The following is a 22,906-nucleotide window of genomic DNA, read 5'->3' as shown; positions in this document are numbered from 1 at the left end:
TTGACTCAGTGTTCGCACCTGTTACATTATGGGAACAGCCACCAGGTCTTGGCTCAGGTGCCATCTCCTAGTCCCATCTGCTATGGTCTGATGGTGGTGGTGACGATGCGGTGGGGCCAGAATCTGGGTCACATTATGGAAAAAGCCAGGTACTGTTAGGCAGGGCCTCAGAAAAGGCTGTAGGTGGGGAGCATCATGACTATTATCTCTACATAGTTTTGCATTTAGGGTATAAAGATAATGATGGAGTCAAAATGACTACAAATTCATGAAACTGGCTAGCTGGAAGAATAGAGTGGCAGTGACAAGAAAATAGAAAAATGTAGCAGGAAAGCAGGGTGGGAACAAACAAGTGATATGTTCATTTAGGGCTAAGCTGAATTTTACTTATTCATTTAGCAAATGTTTATCACCTGTCCACCATGTGCCAAGGCGTGTGCTAGGTGGGGACTGAGGAATTAACAGACTTAAATATTGAATACGTCAACTGAATAAATTAAATTATAGTGATACCTACCATCTGTGAAGCTCCTGTAGTGTACAATGTGCTTTTTTTTTCTTGGATGGAGTCTCGCTCTGTCACCCAGGCTAGAGTGCAATGGCACGATTTCGGCCCACTGCAACTTCCACCTCCCGGGTTCAAGTGATTCTCCTGCCTCAGCCTCCCCAGTAGCTCGGATTACAGGCATGTGCCACCACACCTGGCTGATTTTTGTATTTTTAGTAGAGATGGGATTTCACCATGTTGGTCAGGCTCTTCTCAAACTCCTGACCTCAGGTGATCTACCTGCCTTGGCCTCCCAAAGTGCTGGGATTACAGGTGTGAGCTACCGTGCCTGGCCACTATGTGCTTTTGATATACTATCTCTTTTAGCCCTCACAGCCATCTGATGAAGAAGATATTAATTTCATTTTATAGTTGAGGACACTGAGGTTGGTGAGATTTGAACTTGAGTCTGCCTGATGACAATGCCCAGGTGCTGTACACTGGATTTTATGAGGACAGTGGATCTGGAGCTCCAGAGAAAGGTCAGGGCTGTGGATGGATATTTGGAATTCATCTTCATAAAAGTGTTAAACACATTCAGGAGAATGAATTTATTCTCTAAAAGAAGAAACTCAGATTTTCCTTTGAGGGGAAACCTATGTTTAAGGGGTAGAAAGAAGAAGAGGAGCCTCCAGTCGATACATAAGAGCAGCAAGAGACTTAGCAGGGGAATGAGGATAGTGCAGAACCACCTGGGAGGGGAGTTCCAGAAGGAAGGGCAGCTGCTGGTGTCAGTGCCATAGATTCAGGAGACTGAAGACAGAGGAGACAGGCTCCAGATCAGGTTATTGTGAGGATTCAGGTGACCTCATGGATTGGATGAGTCACTGAGGAACCATCTGGGCTGGCCAATGGCTACAGTTTTGGGGTCGATGAGATATCAGTGGACACCATTACAGATATGGTAGAAGGAAGAGTCTCACAGTGGTTTCCAAGTGTGGTCCCCGGACCTGCAGCATCAACATCACCTGGAAACCCATTAGAAAAGCAAACCCAGCTGTGGGCCCAGCAAGTTGTAGTTTAACAAGCCCTTCAGGTGATTCTGATGCACTCTCAGGATTGAAAAGCACTGGTCTGGGAAAGACACAGTCTCCTCAGACCTGAATGTCACATCATTCCAGGTGTATACTTTGGGAGGTACACAGACCCACTGTAGCACCTTCAGATGGTGAGAAGGAAGGCCAATTAAAAGAATGTCCAAAGAAAGGAGTACTCATCATGAGATAAAACACCAGCAGAGGAATGAAAGCTGCTTCAAACAGGTATGGACTTTGAATATGAACCAGGCACGGTACTTGGCACAGGGGATGGTGTGAGCAAGGCAAAGTTCCTGCTTTTACAGAGCTGACACTCCATTTGGGGAGGCATATAAACATACAAGAAGACCTCAGGTAGTCAGGGTGTGTAATAACAATAAAACATCATGATGTAGTAGGAAAGGCTGGAAGTCTGCTCCAGTCAGAGAAGGACTTGAAGAGTAAGTGACATTTGAGTGAAATCTGAATGCATCAATGAGCAAGCCACAGGAAGGAACAGCAGAGGGAAGAGGGGTCTTGGTGGCAGGAGCTTCAAGTACAAAGACCCTGATTCAGGAACAGGCTTGACTTGTTCAAGGAATAGACAGAAATCCAGTGTGGCTGGAGGCTGGTCAGGGTGGTTCTCACATGGGCAGTGCCATCTAAGATAGGGTCATATAGTCCAGAGTAAGGGTTTTAGACTTATGGTAAGTTCAAGATAGGAAGTCTATGGAGGATTTTAATAAGGAGAGGGACACGATGAAATTTCTATTTTCTATTCCAAAATGCAGGAACAACCCAAATGCCCATCAACGGGTGAATGAGTAAACAGAATTGGTATATCCATACAATGGAATATTATTCAGCTATAAAAAGGAATGTAACTCTGATATAGGTTGACATGAATGAACCTTGAAAACATGATGCTAAGTGAAATAGACACAAAAAGAATACTGTATGATTTCACTTAAATGAGGTGCATAGTGTAGTCACATTCAGAGACACAAAAAGTATATCAGAGGTTAAAAGGGGCTGAGGAGAGAAATGGAGTAGGGGAGTTACTACTTAATGATTATAAAGCTTTAGTGTGGAGTAATGCAAAAGTTCTGGAAATTGCCTGTAGTGGTTGCGTAACAATGGGGAGGTACTTACTGAATTGTACACTTAAAAATAGGTAAAGTAGTAAATTTTATGTTATATCTAGCATACCACAATAAAAATGTATTACACATAAGTTACTCTGGCTGCTGTGTGGAGAACTGGTTGTGGGGTGTCATGGGTGAAGAAGCAGGAAGACCAATGGGGCTGTTGCGTGATCTTGTTCAGATGCTGATGCCTGGGCAGAGGAGTGCCAGCTGAGGTGGAGAGAAGGGGTGGATTGGAAGCCGAGAGCTGATTGGATGAGCTATGCATGAATGAGGTGAAGAAGGGAGGGTCTCATGTGATCCCCAAAGTCTTTTTTTTTTTTCTTCCTTTTTGTGGAGAACGAGGTCTCGCTACATTGCCCAGGCAGGTCTCGAATTCCTGTGCTCAAGCTATCCTCCCGCCTTTGCCTCCCTGAGAGCTGGGATTACAGGCGTGAGCCACCGCGCCTGGCCCCAAGGTCTTTTCTTGAGACACAAAGTGCGTGGTGGTGTCCTGATATTTTAGGGGAAACAGCTGAAGTGCTGTCAGCTGATATTTTAGGGGAAACAGCTGAAGAAATATTATGCTTGCTTAGTGCCACACAAGGGGCGGATGGGACTGTAAGGAGACAGGTTTGGGCTCAATATTAAAAAATAAAAAATTCTTTCAAATTGAGCCATTCTGAGCATGGTTGAGGGCCTGTAAGAGCAGGGGATGAGACTCTCCTTAGAGAGGCCACCATGGAGAGGAGACTAGGACTAGGTGATCTTCCTAGTGGGTTCTCAACAACCCTCAGATTCCTTTATCCCAAGTCTTTGGAAGCCTTTGGAAATGGGATTTCTGTTGCAGGTTGAGGCAGAAGTCAGATTACAGAGGTGGGTGGTGAGGAAATGAGATAGTGGCTGGAGGCCCTAATTTGAGATGATTGTCAAGAATATTGGAGCCAGGAAAGCCAACAGGGTTAAATAGGGTTTTTCTGTTTTCTTTTTCATTCTCCTTCCCTCTTCCCTCTTTTCTGAGATGGAGGAAAATGAGCTCTCACTGTTTCCTAAGAGGTCCCTGGGAGCGAGATAACATAAGGATGGCTGGTCATTTTCGGTTAGAATTGGGACCCATGGAACAATTCTTTCCTTCTAAGCTGGGTCCCAGCTCCATGTTCCTGCAGCCACCACAGCTATTCTGACATACCATCACAGACAGCCTCCGTGGCTCAAATCACTTCCCGCTGTGCACCCATAACACACAGATTGGAGGTAACTTTACTCTAGAGAACCAATTAGCACAGACCCAGGCTGGGTAATTACAGTTTGATAAGATCCTTGCAGCCGATATCCAGGGCAGATAAAGCGCTAGGAAGCCATTTCTCAGCAGGACTTGGGGGGGAAACACAATGCAACTCACCTTCCTCCTTCCCTTCCCTGCCCTTGGACCCCACCCCTGTCTCTCTCAAACTTTAAACTGGCCCCAGAGAGGAAGGGGATGAAGGGGATTAGAAAAAAGTCGCTCAGAGGCTCTGGAGTGGGCAGCTTTTCCTCTCCTAGGCTAGGCCCACTGCTGGTGCCTGCTTTCCTTTCAGCCCTAAGAGGTCGCTGTTACTCAAAGCTGGGGAGATGGTACCAACTAACTAGAAGGAAAACTAAGGGCTTCCACCCTGAGTGGCAGACAAGGAAAGGGATGCCCCATATATGCCTTCTGGATAGACAGGCAGATGCCACAGTGCTGCTCAGGGAGGCCAGGGCCACCCTCCACAGCCCCTCAGGCCCTCCAGGGTCTCTTGTCTCCTTCTCTGCCGTTCCCTTTGGACTTGCGCAGGGGTGGCTGCTGTGTGCAAAGCCATTTCTCTTCTGCCTCCTCTTCTAAGCCATCTTTTTGTCTACCTGAACCTCACCAACCACCCCTCACTGGCTTCCCCAGAACCACTGGGGCTCTCTTTAATCCACGGTCTACACTGCAGCCAGAGGGATTGTTTCCAATGCAAATCTGATTCTGTCGTTCTCATACTTAAAAATCCTTCCATGGCTCCACTACCATTGAGATCATATGCAAACATGGCCTTGGCGTGGCTGAATTTTTTTCCTTCAAAATTTTCAGTAACAAAGCATTGCAGATCCTGTTGCAATTCACTGCCTGCCATTCTCCACTCTCATTTTCTTTTTTGAGCTCTTTAGTGGTGAACTTTTCTTTTGTGACTTTACATTTCACTTTTTAAATTAGCCAGTGCTGAAGTTAACTTAATTTTTGCCGTAAAGTTCTATGAGTCTTAACACGCATAGGATGTATATACTGCCATCACAATCAGAACATGAAACAATTCCATCACCCCCCAGACTCCCTGGTGCTGTCCCTTTGTAGTGACACTGTGCCCCCCTTCCCTAGCCCCTAACATGCACTGATCTGCTCTCCACCACTATAGCTTTCTTTTAAAAATGTGATAGAAATGGAATCATACAGTATGTAACCTCTGAGAGTCCTCCAGCTATTGCATACGTCAGCAGTTTCTCTTTTTTATGGCTGAGTAGTATTCCATCGCATGAATGAAACATGCAATGAAATACTATTTTGTTTATCCACTGTCTTGTTGGCATGGCCCCTTTGTCTCCTGACATTTGTACATGTTGTTCCTTCTTCCAGGGATATTCCCTATCTCCTCCTCTTTGCCTACCAAATGTATTGTCTCTGTTCAGAGATCAGTTTGTATGCCTCTTCCCCAGGAACATCCCTCAGACTCTAGACAGAATTAAGTCCTCCATACTAGGTGCTCCTACTCACTCAGTTTCTTTCTTGAACCACATCCTCACACTTCAGGGTAGGTTTTGGTTAAATTGCCTGTCTTCTCCACCATTCTGTGAGTACCATGAGGGCAAATGTGCTGTTCCCTGCTATGTTTCCATCACCTGGCAAGTCCCAACATATACTTGTTGAATTAATGAACATTATTTGCTTTCGTATCCTAGGACCTAGTATTGTAGTAAACATTCAGCAAATCACAATGCATGTCTGACGAATTAATAAAGAAATGTCTTTGGTGTCCATCTCTTAATTGATACATACATTCATTTGTTTTGTTTACACTGATCAGACCACTTTGTCAATCTTTCTGTATATTCTGAGCCACCGCTTTTTTTTTTTTTTTACAGAGTTGCAAAAACAAATTGAGATAGCTTGTAATAATGACATACTACAATAAGATACAAATAGAGATTGATGATTGGGATGAAGCGAAATAAAGGAGGAACAAGAATAGGAGACCTTAGCTAGAACACAGAAATTCATGTCATAAAGTCTGAGCTTCCTAGCAACCAAAGACAAAGGGGAAGCCATCAGTAGCAAATTTGGCATTGTCTATTAGTGAAAATTATACCAGTTTCTCTGGAGAAGCTGAAGCTAAGGGAAGTTGCCCATGTGGAACTTCAAAAAGGGACATCTAGATCTAATAGGCAATTTTTAAAGTGCCATTTTGACATTAAATGTAATAGCTAGACTCGTGGCTTTCCTTGAAGGATTTCTTCAGTGCAAACTTAAATCAGTATGCCTAAACACAAGTTAGGAAATCTGCTTCCACAAGGAGCGAAAACCATTTGGTCCAAATATACAGCACTGATCGTCGGGCTTGATCCAGAGATAAAATCGAGTGTACCTATAGGAGTAGATGGGCTACATGTCCTTCAGATAATCCTCCATGAATAATATTTCTTGCACCTGGGCTTTTCAGACAGCCAGCAGCTGAAAATTGGAGTTTGTTTCCCAGTGAGGGTATAGAGGATCCTCTTGTGACATCAAGCCTCTTAACCCAGGCTGTTGCCTGAGCCGATTGCCATTTCCCTGGGTCTGCTGAGTCACCAACATAATCATTTAAGGTCATAGAAGAGAAACTGAGGTCTCCCCTTTCCACTTCCACACCCCAGGTATATGCATTATCAAGAATTTGGTAATGTGTGTAATGTATATACCTGGGGCGTGGAAGAATTTGGTTCAGTGTTAGGAGAATTTGGACAACAGAACTTTAGGAGAATCCCAGATCCTGAGATTAAACATGTCGAAGACAATGCATCAGCTAATATTTGGATACAGAATGTTCCCATTTACACAGTTTTTTCATTGGTGTTCACAAATGCAGGGCAGGAGGTAGGCTGCGCAAGGCTTACCATCCCTCCCATTGTACGGGTGACAAACAGATACTTAGGAGGGTAAATGAGTCTCTCAGCATAATGTGTCAGAACTGAGACACTAGTTTCCCTGGACTCAAATCCTGTGTTCTTTGCACTTCCCATTTAAAATATTAACATACTAGAATACTACATGCTAATGTAGTATAATGATTTCCTAGAACAGTAACAGGGAGAGGTGACTTTTATCTTTAGATCAAGAATAAGGAGTTTCCAACTATAATAAAAGGGATTTGGATTAGGCATTAGAAAGATATCTTCCTGGCCACTCTCCATTTACATCTCCATCCTACCTTAAATCTCTATCAGGGAGAGATGTGAGTCATAAGAACAGGCCACTGAGGGAGATTAAAATTTTCCCACTTATAACCTTTAAAAATGTGGGTACTGCTCTTGATCAGGAAACAATTTTGGGGTTGTCCTATTTAGAGACACCCATATCTCCCTTGAGCTTTCTTTTGCCTTCCTTCCTATCCTCCATAGCCAAGCCTGGGCATCAATCTGGGGCACCTGCCAGTCATTTATCTATCCACTCAGCAATATGTGTTGTGCTGGACCATAACTATATCAAAGTCTCAGTAGGAGATATGTTTCCCTTCAGACAGTCCAGATAAAGGGGCTCCAAGGAAGGAACTAGTTACAAAGGTATGAGCAGGCTAAGGGACCAAAAAGGCATGGCAAAGGATCAGAAACCTGCAATATCAAGACAGCCAGGGGAAATGGAGCTACTGGAGCCCATGAGCACTGGAATCATGGAAGAGAGGCTGTTTGGCAAGAGCTGTAGCAGCTGTAGCTGTAGAAGGACCCTCCTGCCAGATCCACAGTGTCAAAGCAGGGAAGGAGTGGCCTCTGATGCTCACACTGGACACACCCAACAAGGAACCAGTCATCAAGAGAGCGTGGGAGGTGCAATTGGCAGAGGTCAGCCTCCTGGGGCCACAGCAGGTTGCAGAAGAGTGGAGCATGGACTGGAGGGGGCAGAGGGCAAATGGAGAATAGACAGCTCAGTAGGAACCAAAGCCACACAGTCCCCGCCCTCCTCTAGCTTTCATTCTAATGAGGCAGCCAGATAATAGATATTTACACACAAAGGGTGTGTTGCAATAACAGCAGTGATGCATGCTATGAAGAAAAACAGAGCAGCGAGAGCTGGAAGTGGGAAGGGGAGCTATTTTAGATGCAACGGTCAAGGAGGCCTCTGAGGAGGTGATATTGTGCAGAGAACTGAATGATGTGAGGGACTGGTAGTCAGATTCCAGCGAGGCGAGATAATCTCATTAGGGAAAAGTGAGGGGGATAAAGTGAAGGCTGGCTCTGCAGAGTGTCCCCCACCCCCACAGCTGAGGGCAGAGCCTGGACCCACTCATATCTCCCAGCCCCAATGCGTGATGCAGAAACTCTAGAAGAGGACAAAGGGAGAAATGCCACCAAAGGTGTGCCCGACATCACTGGTGACGAGCGTGAGAGAGCCCAGAGCTCCCATCTCAGTTGGCTTGGCTCACACGCTGCACGCACAGCTCCCCACACAACCATAGCAACAGATTCATTCTGAATGAGGCGGAAGCATGTCAGTGCTGTGCGGGGGTTTCAGAGCTTACTCAGCGAGAGACAAGTGTGGGGAAGGAAGGCCGCTGTTACCAATTGCTAGGCAGTGACCCAGAAAATGCTTCAGACTCCCGTGGCTGCTCCCCAAGAGTTGGAAGAGAGTGGCAGCTGGTGGACAGGTGGTGGAGCACCCACACTCAGCGATGGTTGTTCTCCACAGTGGTCTGGGGCTCAGGAGTGGGCTATAAATGGCATTGTGAGGGACTCACACCCACCTCCCCCTAACTCAGAGACAGTTTCTCTCTTTCTCTCTCTCTCTCTCTCTCTCTCTCTCTCTCACACACACACACACACACACATACCCCTAGAAGTGCAGGATTCCATAAGAGCATGTAGCAGAAACACAAAACAAGTACATAGTGGTTCCAGGAAGGCTTCCTGGAAGAAGTGGCATGTAAGCTGAGACCAGAAAGCAGATGAGTTAGCTGAGCAAAGAGAAGGTGCAGAAACATTCCAGGCAGAGGGAACAATGTGTAGAGGCTCAGAAATGAGAGAGAGAGCAAGCTGGCCCAGGATTGGGAACCAACAGAAGTTCAGAATGGCTAGAACAGAAAGTGGGAGAGATTCTGGAACAGATGCGGCTGGTGGGGGGTCATCCACATTCTCCTTCTGGTCCCTCCTGTGAGTCCTCGGCTGCGAAGGTGACACTCTTATTTCCAGAGCAGTGTACAGTTTGCAAAGCGCTTCTGTGTCTATTTTTCATCAGTTTCTTTGTCACACTCATGATGGACAGCAGGGCTGGGACTGTGAACATGGGTGAGAACAAAGGGCTTTGTGACATATGGCAACTCGTTCAAAGGCACACAGCTAAGGGTCAGCAGCAACACACTGCACTCCTGACTCCTGCTCTGATACTTGCCTCACTGGAACCGTCATCCCCTCTCATGTGGCAAATGCAGCTGGGTATGTGGTCAGTGCAACCTGTACTTCTACAGCCACCAGCCTGCAGGCTGGACCCCATTAGAGTGAGGAACGGAACCCCTGCTAGCCAGCCTCAGGTACATGCTCTGGGCATGCGCATGCGTGAGTGTGAGCATACTCAGCCTCCAGGGGGCCCCGCCTGGCACTAGATTCTGTTGTTGAAGCTTTGGTTTCTGAGTCCCATCCTGCTCCCCAACTTGGGCCAAGGGGTCCCTGGACAGAACCTCCAGCACTGTTTCCAAGGCACTTTTTCTCCTCCTAAGACGAGGCTGCAAATCCTCTAGTCTTAGCGTTTTGTTTGGTTGTGGCTTTGCTCTCTGGCATTTTCCACGTCACCCAACTGCCTTTCATGCCTCACTTCCGCGTGGTTGTTTCGCGCCTGCATCTTTTCTATCATGTTCCTTCTCCCTTTGTTCTGGGGCTTCTGTGATCTGCCCTGAGTGCTCCATCCTTTTGCAGGCTCTGCCTACTTTCCCTCCCTCCTGTGCTAGACTGCCCGGCCTCTCTCTTCCTCCTCCTCCTTCCTCTCCATCTCCATCCCCTCTGGGCCAGCCATCCTCCTATTTCTACAGCAATACCTCCCTAGAGAGAGATGCCCCAGACCCTAGAAGAGCTGGCCTGGGGGGCTTGAACTTGCTTCCCAGAACTGTGCTTCGGGGAGTCCAGTGGATGAGGAGGCATCACGACTCCACTGCCTTTGAACGGGAGGGGAGGAGAAGGGAGGCGCACACAGACTGAAGGAAAGAGCAGCTATTAGTCACCAGGAGGAGAGAAAGAAAAGGAATTGGTCCAGCAGCAGGGGGTCCAACAAAGCTCACACAGCCCAAATCAGCCCTGAATTTAATAAGGGGATGGGAATTAGAAGCAGACAGGGAAAGGCATTGCTGCTGGCCCAGCTTCTCCCCTCCTGCAGCCCAAGGGGAGGAAAAAAGGTGAGCCTGCAGGCACCTGGGGTAGATACCTCTTTGTGTCTTTGAAAGCTGAGGGGAAGAATAACGGGAGGCAGAGAGAACAGATAGAGGCAGGAGAGAAAGGGACAAATAGCTGCTCGCATTACTTCTGTGCTTTATAGGGGCTTCAAACATCCCATATGCATCCCCGTGAAACAGCACAGAATGCAGCGTCCTTTGTAGCTGAGTGCTTTTCCTTCTGCCCAATTATTTCCCTTTAACATAGTTCGGTGACAGGAACAAATATTTGGATAAATTCAATAATAGTGGTTGCCACCTCTAGGTATCAGGCCCTAGGTAGGTGCCAGGGATCAGCAATGAATAATGCATGGTTCATGCCCTGAAGATGGGCACAGTCTAGAAAGAGACAAAGACAGTTACAGTAACAATTCAATCCGGTTGACCATACATGCAAAGTCCTGTGGTGACCCAGCTCTGCCTAGAGGGTTAGGAACACTTCACAGAACGTGGACTCTAAGCCAAGACTCAGAAAACAAGGGAGAGTTAGGCAACCAGGTAGAGAAAGGGTAATCCCAGCAGTCGGAAGAAAATTGCTCAAAACCTTGGAGCCATCATGGGTCTGGTGTGTTTGGGGAATGTAGGGGCACGTCGGAGCAAGAAAGAACAAGCCAGGGGAAGCTAGCAGCTGATTGCCCTTGGGGGCTCTGGTGGATAAGTCGCAGTGGGATGGGAAGTTCAAGAGGCTCCTGGAATTCAGGGATAAAGGATAAAGGAGTCACCACCCATCTTCCTATATGACTCCCAATGTGACTAAGCCATGCTTCTCAGTGAAGGTTCCAAAAAGGGCGTGGGGACCAGGACCTTTGTTTAAGACGTCTTAAAGGAGTCTGGGTTTTTGTTGGCCTGGCTTTTGGGGGAGGTGGCAGGTGTTATGCATCTCCATGTAATAGTACCCTCCTCTCTGCTTTTGCTTCCAGTCATGAAGATCTTCATTAACTCTCCCCCTCCAACTCCCCCGCCCCAACACACACACGCTCCTTGGAATATGTTCATTTCCACTCATCTATAATGGCCTCAGGCCAGAGTTTATTTGTTCTCTTCCACCCGCCCCACCCTCATTCTGTGGCAGAAATGAGAATAGAGCCCTGAGGAAGCCCAAGGAAAAATAGTACAAAAAACCTTCAGAAGGGGTTTTCTTATAATGAGCATAATTTGGAAAGCAAATTGGAAAACTGTATCAAGAGTGTGCTTAAAATCCCTATTGGCTCCCTACTACCTTAAAGGTAGAATGCAAACTCATGGCACGGTCCGCAGGTGGGCCACCTCCTGCTCAGCCTTGTCTCCATCAGCCTTATCTCCTGTCATCAGCCTCTCCAGACCCTCTCTGCAGGCACGTCTATGCCCTGATACGATCAAGCCACCAGCAATTCCTGGAATACCCCATATTTTCTACTGCTGTCATGACTTAGATCTTGCTATTTTCTCTGTCTGGAATTTCCTTCTCCACCATGCCCTCCAGATTGACATTTCCTGCATTTGCAGGGCAAGTAGATCCTGTTCTGGAATGGCTTGCTCAACCATGTGCCTCTTGCTTGGCTCAGTGAGAATCATTTCCCTGGGACCCCAGTAGCCCCCCTTACCACAACTGGAATATTTATGAACTGTGTAGTTTATGTGTCTGTGTTGCCGCCAGACTGTGAACCTTCTGACGGCAGAGACTAACTCTTCCATCTTTGTACCCCCCGTGCTTAGCGCAGTCTCTGGCCTGGAGTAGGTTTTCAAAAAATGTTTGGTGAAAGCATGGATGAGTCATAAACATTATTCTATCCCTCCACCTAGTAATTTCAATTCGAGATATTTATTATTAGGAAATATTACAGAAGAAGGAAAAAGAAGCACGTGCATAGCTATTCATTGCAGGATTATCTTCATTAGTAGAAAACTAGAAGCATCTAAATGCCAACACTAGGGGAACTGTTAAGTGAGTTACAGACTATTGCATTGCCATTACAAAGAATAACTGTTGAGACTAGTAACAATGTAGAAAATGTTTCCCACACAGTCTATGGTTTTAAAAAATGGGATATAAATGGTATGTTCACTCTGATTATAATTATGTAAAAGTAAGAGCAAGGACTAAAAGATAATATACAAAAAAATGAGTTGTTGGTCTGGGCTTAACCCACTATTTTTTTCCTTCTTAAACATTCTTAAAAATTCATTTTGATGCTGTTATAATAATATTTGTATGGAAAAATAATATTGATACTCGGGGAAACACCCACGTATTTATATGCATATTTATATGCATGAGCCATGCAATCCAGTCTCTGTCTTTAAGAGATTTTGACAAATATATTGTCCTTTTGTACAACAGCCTTAAAAACCCATAGATTGCCCTCAAATGCTCTGGCTTCTCCCATTATGACCCTGTGAACCATAATATATTCAAAATTCTTCAAGCTGTTTGTGTTTTCAGCTCACGATGACATAGATTTGGATTATATCCTTTTAGCTTATTCCTTCTAGGCCAATAAAGCCTTATCTTTAATAAGTCTGCATACGGTGCTTCCTACCGCCATCCTTATCACATTGATCATTCTGTAATTCTTTCCTGGACCTGCTCCTTATCTATTGCAGTGTTTGCATATCAACTATTTTATCAAGTGCTTACCTTATGCCAGGTAGGGTGACCAACTAGCTCCATTTGCCTGGTATTATCCTAGTTTTAGAACTGAAAGTCAGGCATCCTGGAAAACAAGTCAGTCACAGGAAAATCAGGATAGTTGTTCACCCTAGTACCAGGCTCCACATTATACAATGAAGTTAAAGTTATGAACCAGATGGACACACTCCTGCCCTCAAGGAGCTTACACGGTAACTAGTGGGAAATGACCAAAAATGTAATAGACAATTTGAATGTGCTGCTACAAAGATTGGCATCAACAACTATGAATGTGTAGAATATAAAGCAATGATTTTCGCAAATGCCTGTGAGGGGTGTGTGTGTGTCTGGGGCTAGGGATGACCTACAGAAGAGATGGTATTTGAGCTGGACATTGAAAGGAATGTAGGTGCTTTTTCAAAGAGATGAGGGACGTTGCAAATAGGTATCTGCTGGAGTCTCAGGTCTGGTCCTGCACAGCACTATGTGTGATTGCACTGCTACTTTCTTCAAAGGAAGAACAGCGCTCCTGTTTGGTTTCCAACACCCTTCTTTATGTGACCCAGCAGTTGGCCTTTTCTGACATCTGCCCGCTGGGTTCTAGTCTTCTTAGACTGTTCTTGGTCATGTTTGCAGCTAGGTGTGCATAACCCAAGAATGAAGTGCGAATGCTCTCTCCTTGCTGCAAAGTGGCCTAGTGTCCGCTAGGCTTTCCCATACTAAACACTTACCCCAGGCAGCGCTCTCCTGGCCTGGCCTGCTTTGACTGATATCCACCTTCAGTGAGGGGTGGCGTGAGGGCTAGGGATTATTATGGGCCGAATTGTGTCGCCTCCCAAAATCTTTTTTTTTTTTTTTGAGACAGAGTCGCCCAGGCTGGAGTGCAGTGGTGCGATCTCAGCTCACTGCAAGCTCCGCCTCCTGGGTTCATGCCATTCTCCTGCCTCAGCCTCCCGAGTAGCTGGGAATACAGACTCCCGCCACCACGCCAGGCTAATTTTTTATATTCTTAGTAGAAATGGGGTTTCACCGTGTTAGCCATGATGGTCTCGATCTCCTGACCTCGTGATCTACCCGCCTCGGCCTCCCAAAGTGCTGAGATTACAGGCGTGAGCCACCACGCCCAGCCTCCTCCCAAATTCCTATGCCAAAGCCCTAACACCAATGTGATTGTAGTTGGAGACAGGACCTATAGGAAGGTAATGAAGGTTCAGTGAGGTTATAACGGTGACTTCTGAATCACGTAGAACCAACCAGTGGCCTTATACAAAGAGGAGGAACACTGGAGACCTCTCTGTCTCTCAGGAAAGGCCGTGGGAGGGCACAGGGAAAAAGCATCAGTCTGCAAGCCAGAAAGAGAACCCGAGCCAGCCACAGAATCTGCCAGCATCTTGTTTATGGATTTCTAACCTCCAGAAAATAAATTTTTGTGAAGCCACCCAGCCTGTGGTATTCTGTGATGGCAGCCTGAGCAGACTAAGACAGGGATGCTTTACTATTTCCCAGGTGAAAGTCTGTTCTCCTTAAGTGAAGTTCAGCACTTAGGAGCAGGCAGGAGCCCAAACATAGGCCATGGGTCCCTCATTGAGCTTTGGTATGTGGCCAAGCATGGAGTAGGTGAGCAATAAAAACCTATTCATGGCTGGGTGTGGTGGCTCACACCTGTAATCCCAGCACTTTGGGAGGCCGATGCGGGTGGATTGCCTGAGCTCAGGAGTTTGAGACCAGCCTGGGCAACACAGTGAAACCCTGTCTCTACTAAGATACAAAAAATTAGCCAGGCGTGGTGGCATGTGCCTGTAATTCCAGCTACTCGGGAGGCTGAGGCAAGAGAATTGCTAGAACTTGGGAGGCAGAGTTTGCAGTGAGCCGAGATCACGCCACTGCACTCCAGCCTGGGTGACAGAGCAAGCGTTCATCTCTAAAAAAAAAAAAAAAAAAAAAGCCTATTCATTTATTGAGAGGAGAGACCTTCAATATCAGGAGAAAGGACCTGGGTCTTCGTTAGAAAAAGACCATCAACCCTCAGGCACTTGGACAAAGGAGCCAGTGATGCCCACACTCCCTTTCTCTTAGATGCTTTTCCTCCCTCGAGAGTGGGGGCACAGATCATTCCTTGGTCATGTTCTGAACGTTTGTTGTAACCAAAGATCAGAGTCTACAGACCCCCCCTGTTCTAGAATCCAGAGATCTTTCCTTGGCCATTTGCTAGACATGTATTTGAGTTGTGAAATAATTTTATGGCATCTCATTTGATCCTCATAACCAGACTTGGAAGTAAGGACCTTGCATTGATCTTTGCTCTACAGGTGACAAAACTGAGGCTCAGAGGCCAATGGCCTTGTTCAAGGTCACACGCCCACTAAATGAGAGACCCGGAGACCTGGCATCACACGTAAGTCTGTTTGCCTCCAAAGTCTGAGATTTTTCCTGCCCCATTCCCCAGGAACAAGTATCTCATTGCTTGGGCCAGCCTAACGCAGGCTGCCCCTCTGACCAACTCCTGCTAGAGCCCCTTCTCATTCCTGTTCTGCGGTCAGGGAACATATTTCCTAGGGTGAGAAGACAGCCTGGAGCTACCCATTCGACAATTGCTCCTTTCAGTCCAGATTTGGTTTTTGATTTGTTTTCTGTTTGTCTTTTCTTCTGGGAAGGAGAAGTGGGGGAACCTCAGCCTTTTCTGAGAGCTCTGTGTTTATTTCTTCTTCTGTTGTGTGGGGATTTTAAATGATGAAGCTTTGATTTTTCTGCCTTCTTGGGAGACTTGTGCAATTTTTTAAAAACATACTGGCTCTGGTATTGCATTTCTGCTTGATTTTGCCTGCTGAGGAAGCCAAGGGCCTCAAAGCTGAGTCTAGGGCTGTCTGTGACTGTCTGCGTTTCTTCTCCCCCACCTTTTGTGGGGCATATGAAAGGCATTGACTCGGTGTGCTTTGCTGAAGTTTAAAGTGACAGCAAGAGAGTGGAGAGAGAGTGAGGGGAAAGTGCCAAGTAGGAGGAATGATAACTCTAGACCACATGGCTTTGCCAGGCTGCATTGGAGTCCTTGTGCTTGAACATACGAGTGTGCCCTCCTGGCTATGAGAAACCATTATGTGGTCAGAACAGGGGAAGGCAAGCATGCATTTGCTTTTGCTCAAGTGCATACATTTGAGGGAGCTGACTTGGAACACAATTCCACATATAGTCAAGCAGGTTGGGTAAGGAGAGATACGTCAGTCATATGTACTTGGACATACAAGTGTGTTCCCACATCTGTGCCAGACCTTGGGTGTGAAGACATCCATACAGCACATAACCACAGACTTCCTGTGGGCAAGTATGCAAATGTGTAGAAAAGATGTCAGATTAAACTGTGAGTGCCCACACGTACGAAAATGATTTTGGAGGCTGGATAGAGCATCAGGAGGCTTTGATTCAAGACTCCAGCCTCCGCCTGGCTACCGTAGTATGCGTTTTTAAGCATACGTAGGAATGTGAGAAGATACACGGGCACACATCTATGTTTCTGTAGGTGTCAGCATATGAGCACAGCAGGGCGTGTCTTTGTGTTAGCATGGGTGCACACGCCTGAGTGTACACAGGGCTCTGTGAACGCATGTGTAGAGGGACCCTGGGAGGAGAGGGGCCTGGATGTGCATATGAGAATGTAGGGGTGCTCTCCTGGGTTTGGGTTCCTCATCCTGGAGAATTTAAAACAACAGCAACAGCAACAATGACAAAGGGGATTGGAAGATGGCGTAACACTGCATACATTTCTGAAGCTTCAGGAACAGGCCCCGCGCCGGCTACGATTCCAGCAGTGTCCGTTACCATGGCTATCGCTAAAAAGACACTGCTGGCTCTTCTGTTTATTTTTAAATCCTCATCCCTTTGACGCCCCCTTCTGAAACTCAAATCCCATTCCCTTGGTGCTTCCTTTCCTCTCAGATCAGAAGATGAGCCCAATTCCCTCCCAATCCCAGGGGTAGGAGGCCGAGGAGGCAGCCAGCCAGCCCATCATTCTAACCCCCTTTCCCTCCCCAGACCTGGGGTGTCTCTAGGGATGACTTAGGACCCTGGGGCTCCTGGAAAACCAGAGAGCTCAGTGAAGATGGATGGCTTCCAGCCTGCCTTCAGGGGCTCTCCTGGCCTTGCCTAGGAATAAGTGGCTGCCAGGGTCTGGGAGAGGGAGGGGAAGGCTGACACAGAGTGGAAACTGTGGATTTCATAAGTTCTGAGTCCACTGGCCCAGGCAAGGGGGAATGGGGAGACTGAGGAAACTACAGACAGCTGAGCTTGGCCTTAGCTGCCGTGGGTGGGCCTTCACACCTTCTCAAACACTCCCTCTTGGCCTCTTCTCTGTTTGTGACTGGGTTTGGAGGAAGCTGGAGGGGCTGGGGATTGCCATGAGAGAGCAGGAAGGCTGGGCTACACTAGGATGCCTTCTCCTGCTCACAGGGCTTCTGCTTGTGAGCTCAGTGCTTTAAAGGCCCAAGTCTGGATTTCCTTTTGCACATCAGCTAATCAGCTTCAGCTATGCCTTGCTGGAGAGACAGCCCCAGCCCCTAGGAACACAGAAGGGAGGCAGGGGCACGCACCAAGCACTCCCCACTGCCAGTGATCAGCAGCAATGGGCCCTGCTCCTCCCACCAGAGAGTTAGCTCCCTGAGGGCAGGAGCTGTGTTCTTTTAGGCCACACCCATCCCTGCCTCCAGCCAGGCAGTGTCTTGTCCTGGGCCCTGGTTGGGAGCCTGCAAACCTAAGTGCTTCCACTCGGGAGCCTGATTGTGTGTGGGGGAAACTCTTTACCTTTCTTCAGCATTGCTTTCTTCGTCTACAAAATGAGCTCGGATTGAATTAGCCCTGTACTCCCGCACTGACATTTTGTGATTCTATTAACTAATTGAATTGGATGGACATTATGGAGAATGTTCAACAACAGGCTAATTTCTCTTTGAACATTCACCAGATCCTCGGCTGTGTCATAGCCAGGTCAGTGGAAAACAAAATACAAAATCATTTCACCTTCTTTCCTTTCATAGGTGAGCAGATTTGCCAAGTCTTTCCTGAAACCTGCAATGGAGAGTTTAGAGTGTCCCCAGTCCCGTTTGTGAGTTTTCTGGTGGTTAGAATGCTTGGGTCACTAGCTGTCCTTTAGGCTAAGGTGGCCATGGGCTCCCCTCCAAGGGAACATCTAGAACTGTCGGCTCCAGCTGTTCTGTTCTTCTGTTTTGGGAGAGTAAAGAGGGAGCTATGGGAAAGATCTGAGTTTGAGAAACAGGTCCTGGCTGCTCCAACAGAAACAAATAACAACAACGTATCTTTGTCGAACAAAGGATGTAGGTGCTGGAATTCTCTCTCCAGCTCCTGGCTTTCTAGGTCACCCTCTGGATGCCCTTTTATTTCTTTCTGATTGATAAGTATTATGTGTTTATTGTGTCACCTTGACATTTATATGTTGATGTCCTAAGCCCCAGTCCTTCAGAATGTGATCTTATCTAGAAATAGGGTCTGTACAGATGTAATTTGTTAAGAGGAGGTCACCCTGGAGTAGGGCGGACCCTTAGCCTAACGTGACTATATCCTTATACAAAGGGGAAATTTAAACATGGAGACCCACACAGAGGGAGAATGTCATGCAGAGATGAGAGCAGAGTCGGAGTGATGCTTCCACAAGCCAAGGAACTCCAAAGATGGCTTGCAAACCATCAGAATCCAGGGGAGAGGTGTGGAGCAGGTTCCCCTCAGCCCTCAGAAGGAACTGGCCCTGCCAGCACCTTGATCTTAGACTTTCAGCCTCCAGAACTGTGAGACAATAGCTTCTGTCATTTAAGCCACCCAGTCTGTGGCATTGTATGGCCGCAGCTGTAGCAAACCCATACAATAAGAGATAGAACGTGATAGAAAAAGCTCTGAATGTCAACCACTGTCTTCTGCCACCCCCACCCCCTCTGGCTTCAACCCACACCCCAGGCCTCCACCCAAGTGCATTAGGCAGAGGCAATGTAATAGCAGGTAAACATCCTCAAGGAAAGTGATTTCTCCAGCCCAGTTTTGTTTCACAGCTACTACTATGGATCAGGAGGTCCGTCCTTCTATCCCACCTCAATCCCACCTGCTGCCGCTCCATTGCATTCTGTCTTGTTTGTCCTCAAAAGAGACAGTGATCAACCAGAACCCTCACTAACAGAAAACAATCCTTTGTTGTCTAGAAGTTACAGGTGGAATCTCCTTTCCACAATAGCAGAGAGCTCCCACCCTCTGGTTCAAGGTAAACATTCCACTCTCTGCTCCCACCCCAGGCCCAGGCTCTCAGTCCTCCAAATGTCCCCACATAATGACCTTTTCTCTGACATCCCAGAGCAGGCCTGCAGGATCCGGCCACCTCCTCCTACCCCCATCCCTCACCCCATCCCTCCCCTGTCTCCTGGATCCCTCAACGCAGGCCATCCTTCCAACAGACAGTGCTTGTTTGTGTTGCTCACACATGCCTTGTCTGCAAACATAGCGTGGAGAGAAGTCGTAAGGACTGAGATGCAGCGGCTGGGAAACTGCAGTGACCGACGAGAGGGCCTGATTGCTTGTGCATAGCTGCTGAAAGGGGTCTTGACATTTTAAGTGCTCGTCAGAGTGAGGAATGACAGCAGCAGACAATGAGACACTTCCTCTTTGCCTTTTGCTGGCTATTAATAAGTGTTTCTGATTCTGCAGATGTGGGAGAGATTCTGGGCCATTGGGCTGGGTGTGCTGTGTGGGTTTTTTTTTCTCACTTTGTCTTTCTTCCAGTCCCGTTTCCTCCTCTCTCCCCTGCCTCCCTCTGCGTGAGCTGCCACTCTCCTTCTCTCCCAGGTGCTGCTGGCTGTTTGTCTTGGAGTCGGATTTGTTAGTGCTCAGGAAATGGCATTAGGCAGCTGGACTCAGACCTGCTCTTGGCACTTTGCCAATCTCTTAGTCTCCTGGCTTGGACCCACTGCCAAACCCCACTCACTTCCCCCAGGGTAGGAGAGGCAAGGAAGGGACACAGTGGGCTGGTGGAGAAGATAGAGAGGGGCTGTGAGTCTACGGTTGGGGAAGGGACCACCAGGAAAGGAAGCAAGAGGGACCATTTAGACAGTCAGTGCAAGCTGGGACAAAGGAGCCAGCCTTGGGGACAGATGACTCAGAGAGAGCTGGGAGATGGACTTTTCCCTCCCTCCTTCCTGGAGCTGCCTCCTTCCCTCCGCTTCTTGTGTTCTCCCATGGGCCCTTACCTCAGAGAAGCCAGCAGCGGCCATGTGCTCCTGCATTGCCCACACTTGGCAGGTGTGCTACCTTCTGGCCTTGGGAGAATATTGTCTGCTGAAGCCAAGAGAGAACCGTTTGGTATCCCAAGTTCCCCACCTGGTTCCTTAGGTTCTGAAATCTACCCTTTCCCTAAATTAGGGTGGCCAACCATCCCCAGTGATCTCAGAATTGAGAGATTCCCCTGAGTGTTAAAACTGGGGCAGTCCCAGACAAACCAGGGTGCTTCATCATCCTCCTCCAAATCTCACTCACGACCCCCAACGTGGCCTGATGCCCCTTCTCCAGAGGCCCCTTCCTCGGCTTTAATTTCACTTCGATTGAACAGGAAGTGGGCAGTCAGGCTGATGCAAGAGGATGGGGTGAGGTAAGACAGGAGAGACTCTTCACACTGCAGGACATGGCCTCCTTGTTCCAGCAAAAGAGAACAGAGATGTCCAGCCAAGGATAAGTGATCCCTAGAGATGCCCTCCAACCCTCTCCAGAGGGAGCCTCTGGATCTATGGGGGAAAACAAGGCTCGAGGGAACCAAGCAAAACCAGGAGCAGTCCCCTGTCTGCTCTCGGGGCCCACCTGGCACTCTGCTCCCTGTGCCCTTGTCCCCTCCCTCTTTCCCTCCCCTAGCCAGTCCCCTCCAGCTAACCCCCCTCCAGCCTGGCTTCACTGGAGTCCAGCTCCAAAGCCTTATCCCAAGCCCGCAGCCTCTGGATCTCTTTATTCTGATTCAATTACATACACAATATGAGCTTTGCAAACAGAAAATTACACGCTGCAATAATTGAATTCTTTCCTGAACTTGAAGCTTGCTGGGCTGTGGTGTGGAGCTTCCAGATACCCAGCCTTGCCCCCGGGCCCCACCTTCACTTAGCAAAATCATAACTAACATTTAAACATCATTTGATAGTTAATGGCATTGCCACCCCCACCATCTCCTTTGAATTTTACAACTATGTGAAGATATATATGTGTATCCCATCATTATTATTTATAATTCCCTCTCTACAAATGAGGAAACTGAGACAAGGAGTAATTATAAGCCATGCTCAAGGTTACAGAACAAATAATGGTGACACAGCCAAGATCTAAATCCAGGTTTTCTCAAACAAATTTCATGTTTTTCCCAATCTAGCCTGTCCCATTTCCTGCCAGTTCGGACTAGCACATGGACCTGGTTCTCCTGGTCTCCATGGTTCAAGGATAAAGGGGATGATGACTTTTCTCCCTTCCCCCAAGCCTAGGTCTGTGTGTTATCTCCAGTGCTGGGGACACAACTGATCTGTCCCCAACCACAAGCCAACGCTTATTGTTTCAAAACCTGTGAAATGCTCACAAACCAAGATAATTGTTAAGCACTTTGAAGAGAACGCTTTTCCCCCATTGGTCTACCAAACATTTTCCCTGTAGGACCAACGAGGCAAGTACTCTCATTTTATTTCCCCTGCCCTTCCTTTACAATAAAGCTAAACACACGGATTCCTTAGACATCTGCAGTAAATAAGCCTGTGACTTCTGTCACCTTCGACAGCACTTCCACAAATGTTTATTGAGCATCTGCTGTGTGCCAGCCATTTGTTACCTCATTCAATCCTCACAATAAATTAGTGAAATAGGTGCCATTATTTCTCTTTTAGAGACGAGGACCTGGAGCTTAGAGCAGCAAAGATGCTCAGCCAAGTTCCTACTTCCAGTAGAGACTGAACCCAGGTCTCCCAACTGCAGGGCCTGTGCTTTTAGCTAGTGTAGCACATGGTGGGTTAGGGACCCAGCTCCTTCCTCCCTCCCTAGTTCAGACCAGCCTTCTCTTTGAACTGGACTATTGAATTTCTTCTTAATGGTCTCCATGACTTTGGTCTTATGTGCATTAAATTTATACTCTATACTGAGCCAGTAAGTTGTTAAACAACTCCAACAAAGTCATTTCCAGGCTCCAAAAAAAAAAAAAAAAAAAAAACCATCAACACTACAGGAAAAAAAAAGACAGAAAACTAGAAGTTCAAGCTCTGTGGAGTACTGGACAAGGTACTCTATGATTCCTGCTTATCTCTGAAGCCTTGTCTTCTGCCTCTTTCTTCCTTGCATTGCACTCTATAGTGATGCTAAACTGCCTATAATTCCTTTACTGCAAGCAGCAGGAGGTTTCGTATTTCACTGTTTTTATGAAGACCTCCTCTTCTCCCCAGAGCGCCCTTCCTACTTTGCTGGGCTTAGCTTACTGCTTCATCAAGGCTCAGCCTAGGCATCATCCCTCCAGAAAATCTTTACTGTGTCTCAGGTCAGCTAAGTCTTCCATGCTGTGATTCCATAGTACCCTGTGCACTGCTCTTAGAGGACAATTACCTGGTCAGCTGTCTGTGACTCTTAGCCCTGCTCCTCAATCCTGAACTGGAAATTCATGACACTGAGACTGTAGATCATTCTCTCTGTGCCCCAGAAGCTAACACAATTCCTGGCTCATGGTACTCACTCACTAAATATTTGTTGAAAGTCTTTAAATCACCACGTTTAGCTGGATGATACTACATGCACAATCATATCCTCCTAAATACCTAACCTCAGAAGATTGTCTTTGGATCCTGATGCTGAATGTAAAAGAAAGTATTTGCTAACGTGGCCTAGAGTCGTATGCACCCAAGGAAACACTGTTTCTTAGAGCTGCAGTATAATTTTAGAATAAGAAAGTCTCCTCT

The 22,906-nt window shown here is 47.1% G+C and overlaps 1 long non-coding RNA gene across 4 annotated transcripts in view, besides 3 other annotated features; it reads left to right on the top strand.

Moving 5' to 3' along the window:
• Nucleotides 1-1,411: 1,411 nt before the first annotated feature.
• Nucleotides 1,412-22,906, top strand: part of LOC105369513 (uncharacterized) — a 47,986-nt gene continuing 26,491 nt past the window's right edge. Inside the window, exons 1-3 of one of the 4 annotated variants that reach the window (XR_948056.2) lie at nt 1,412-1,583; nt 1,669-1,809; nt 15,266-15,351. This is a non-coding gene — a long non-coding RNA (uncharacterized LOC105369513). Of the gene's footprint in view, nt 1,584-1,668; nt 1,810-9,265; nt 9,458-15,265; nt 15,352-18,533; nt 18,938-22,906 lie in introns of those variants that run through there. The other 3 variants (XR_001748401.1, XR_948057.2, XR_948055.2) reach the window with 3 other exon arrangements.
• Nucleotides 8,010-8,059: an enhancer, noted in NCBI's record as "active region_5553". NCBI's record gives its function as "activates an Ori minimal core promoter by ATAC-STARR-seq in GM12878 lymphoblastoid cells {active_cell/tissue: GM12878}" and the evidence as "EXISTENCE:reporter gene assay evidence [ECO:0000049][PMID:35858748]".
• Nucleotides 8,190-8,309: an enhancer, noted in NCBI's record as "active region_5552". NCBI's record gives its function as "activates an Ori minimal core promoter by ATAC-STARR-seq in GM12878 lymphoblastoid cells {active_cell/tissue: GM12878}" and the evidence as "EXISTENCE:reporter gene assay evidence [ECO:0000049][PMID:35858748]".
• Nucleotides 22,043-22,603: an enhancer, noted in NCBI's record as "NANOG hESC enhancer chr11:115930586-115931146 (GRCh37/hg19 assembly coordinates)". NCBI's record gives its function as "activates a minimal SCP1, AML or CMV promoter by ChIP-STARR-seq in naive and primed H9 embryonic stem cells {active_cell/tissue: H9 hESC(naive and primed)}" and the evidence as "EXISTENCE:reporter gene assay evidence [ECO:0000049][PMID:30033119]".

Source organism: Homo sapiens, chromosome 11, assembly GCF_000001405.40.
Source record: "Homo sapiens chromosome 11, GRCh38.p14 Primary Assembly".
Classification (NCBI taxonomy): Eukaryota; Metazoa; Chordata; class Mammalia; order Primates; family Hominidae; genus Homo; species Homo sapiens.
This window is presented reverse-complemented; position numbering and strand designations above follow the sequence as displayed.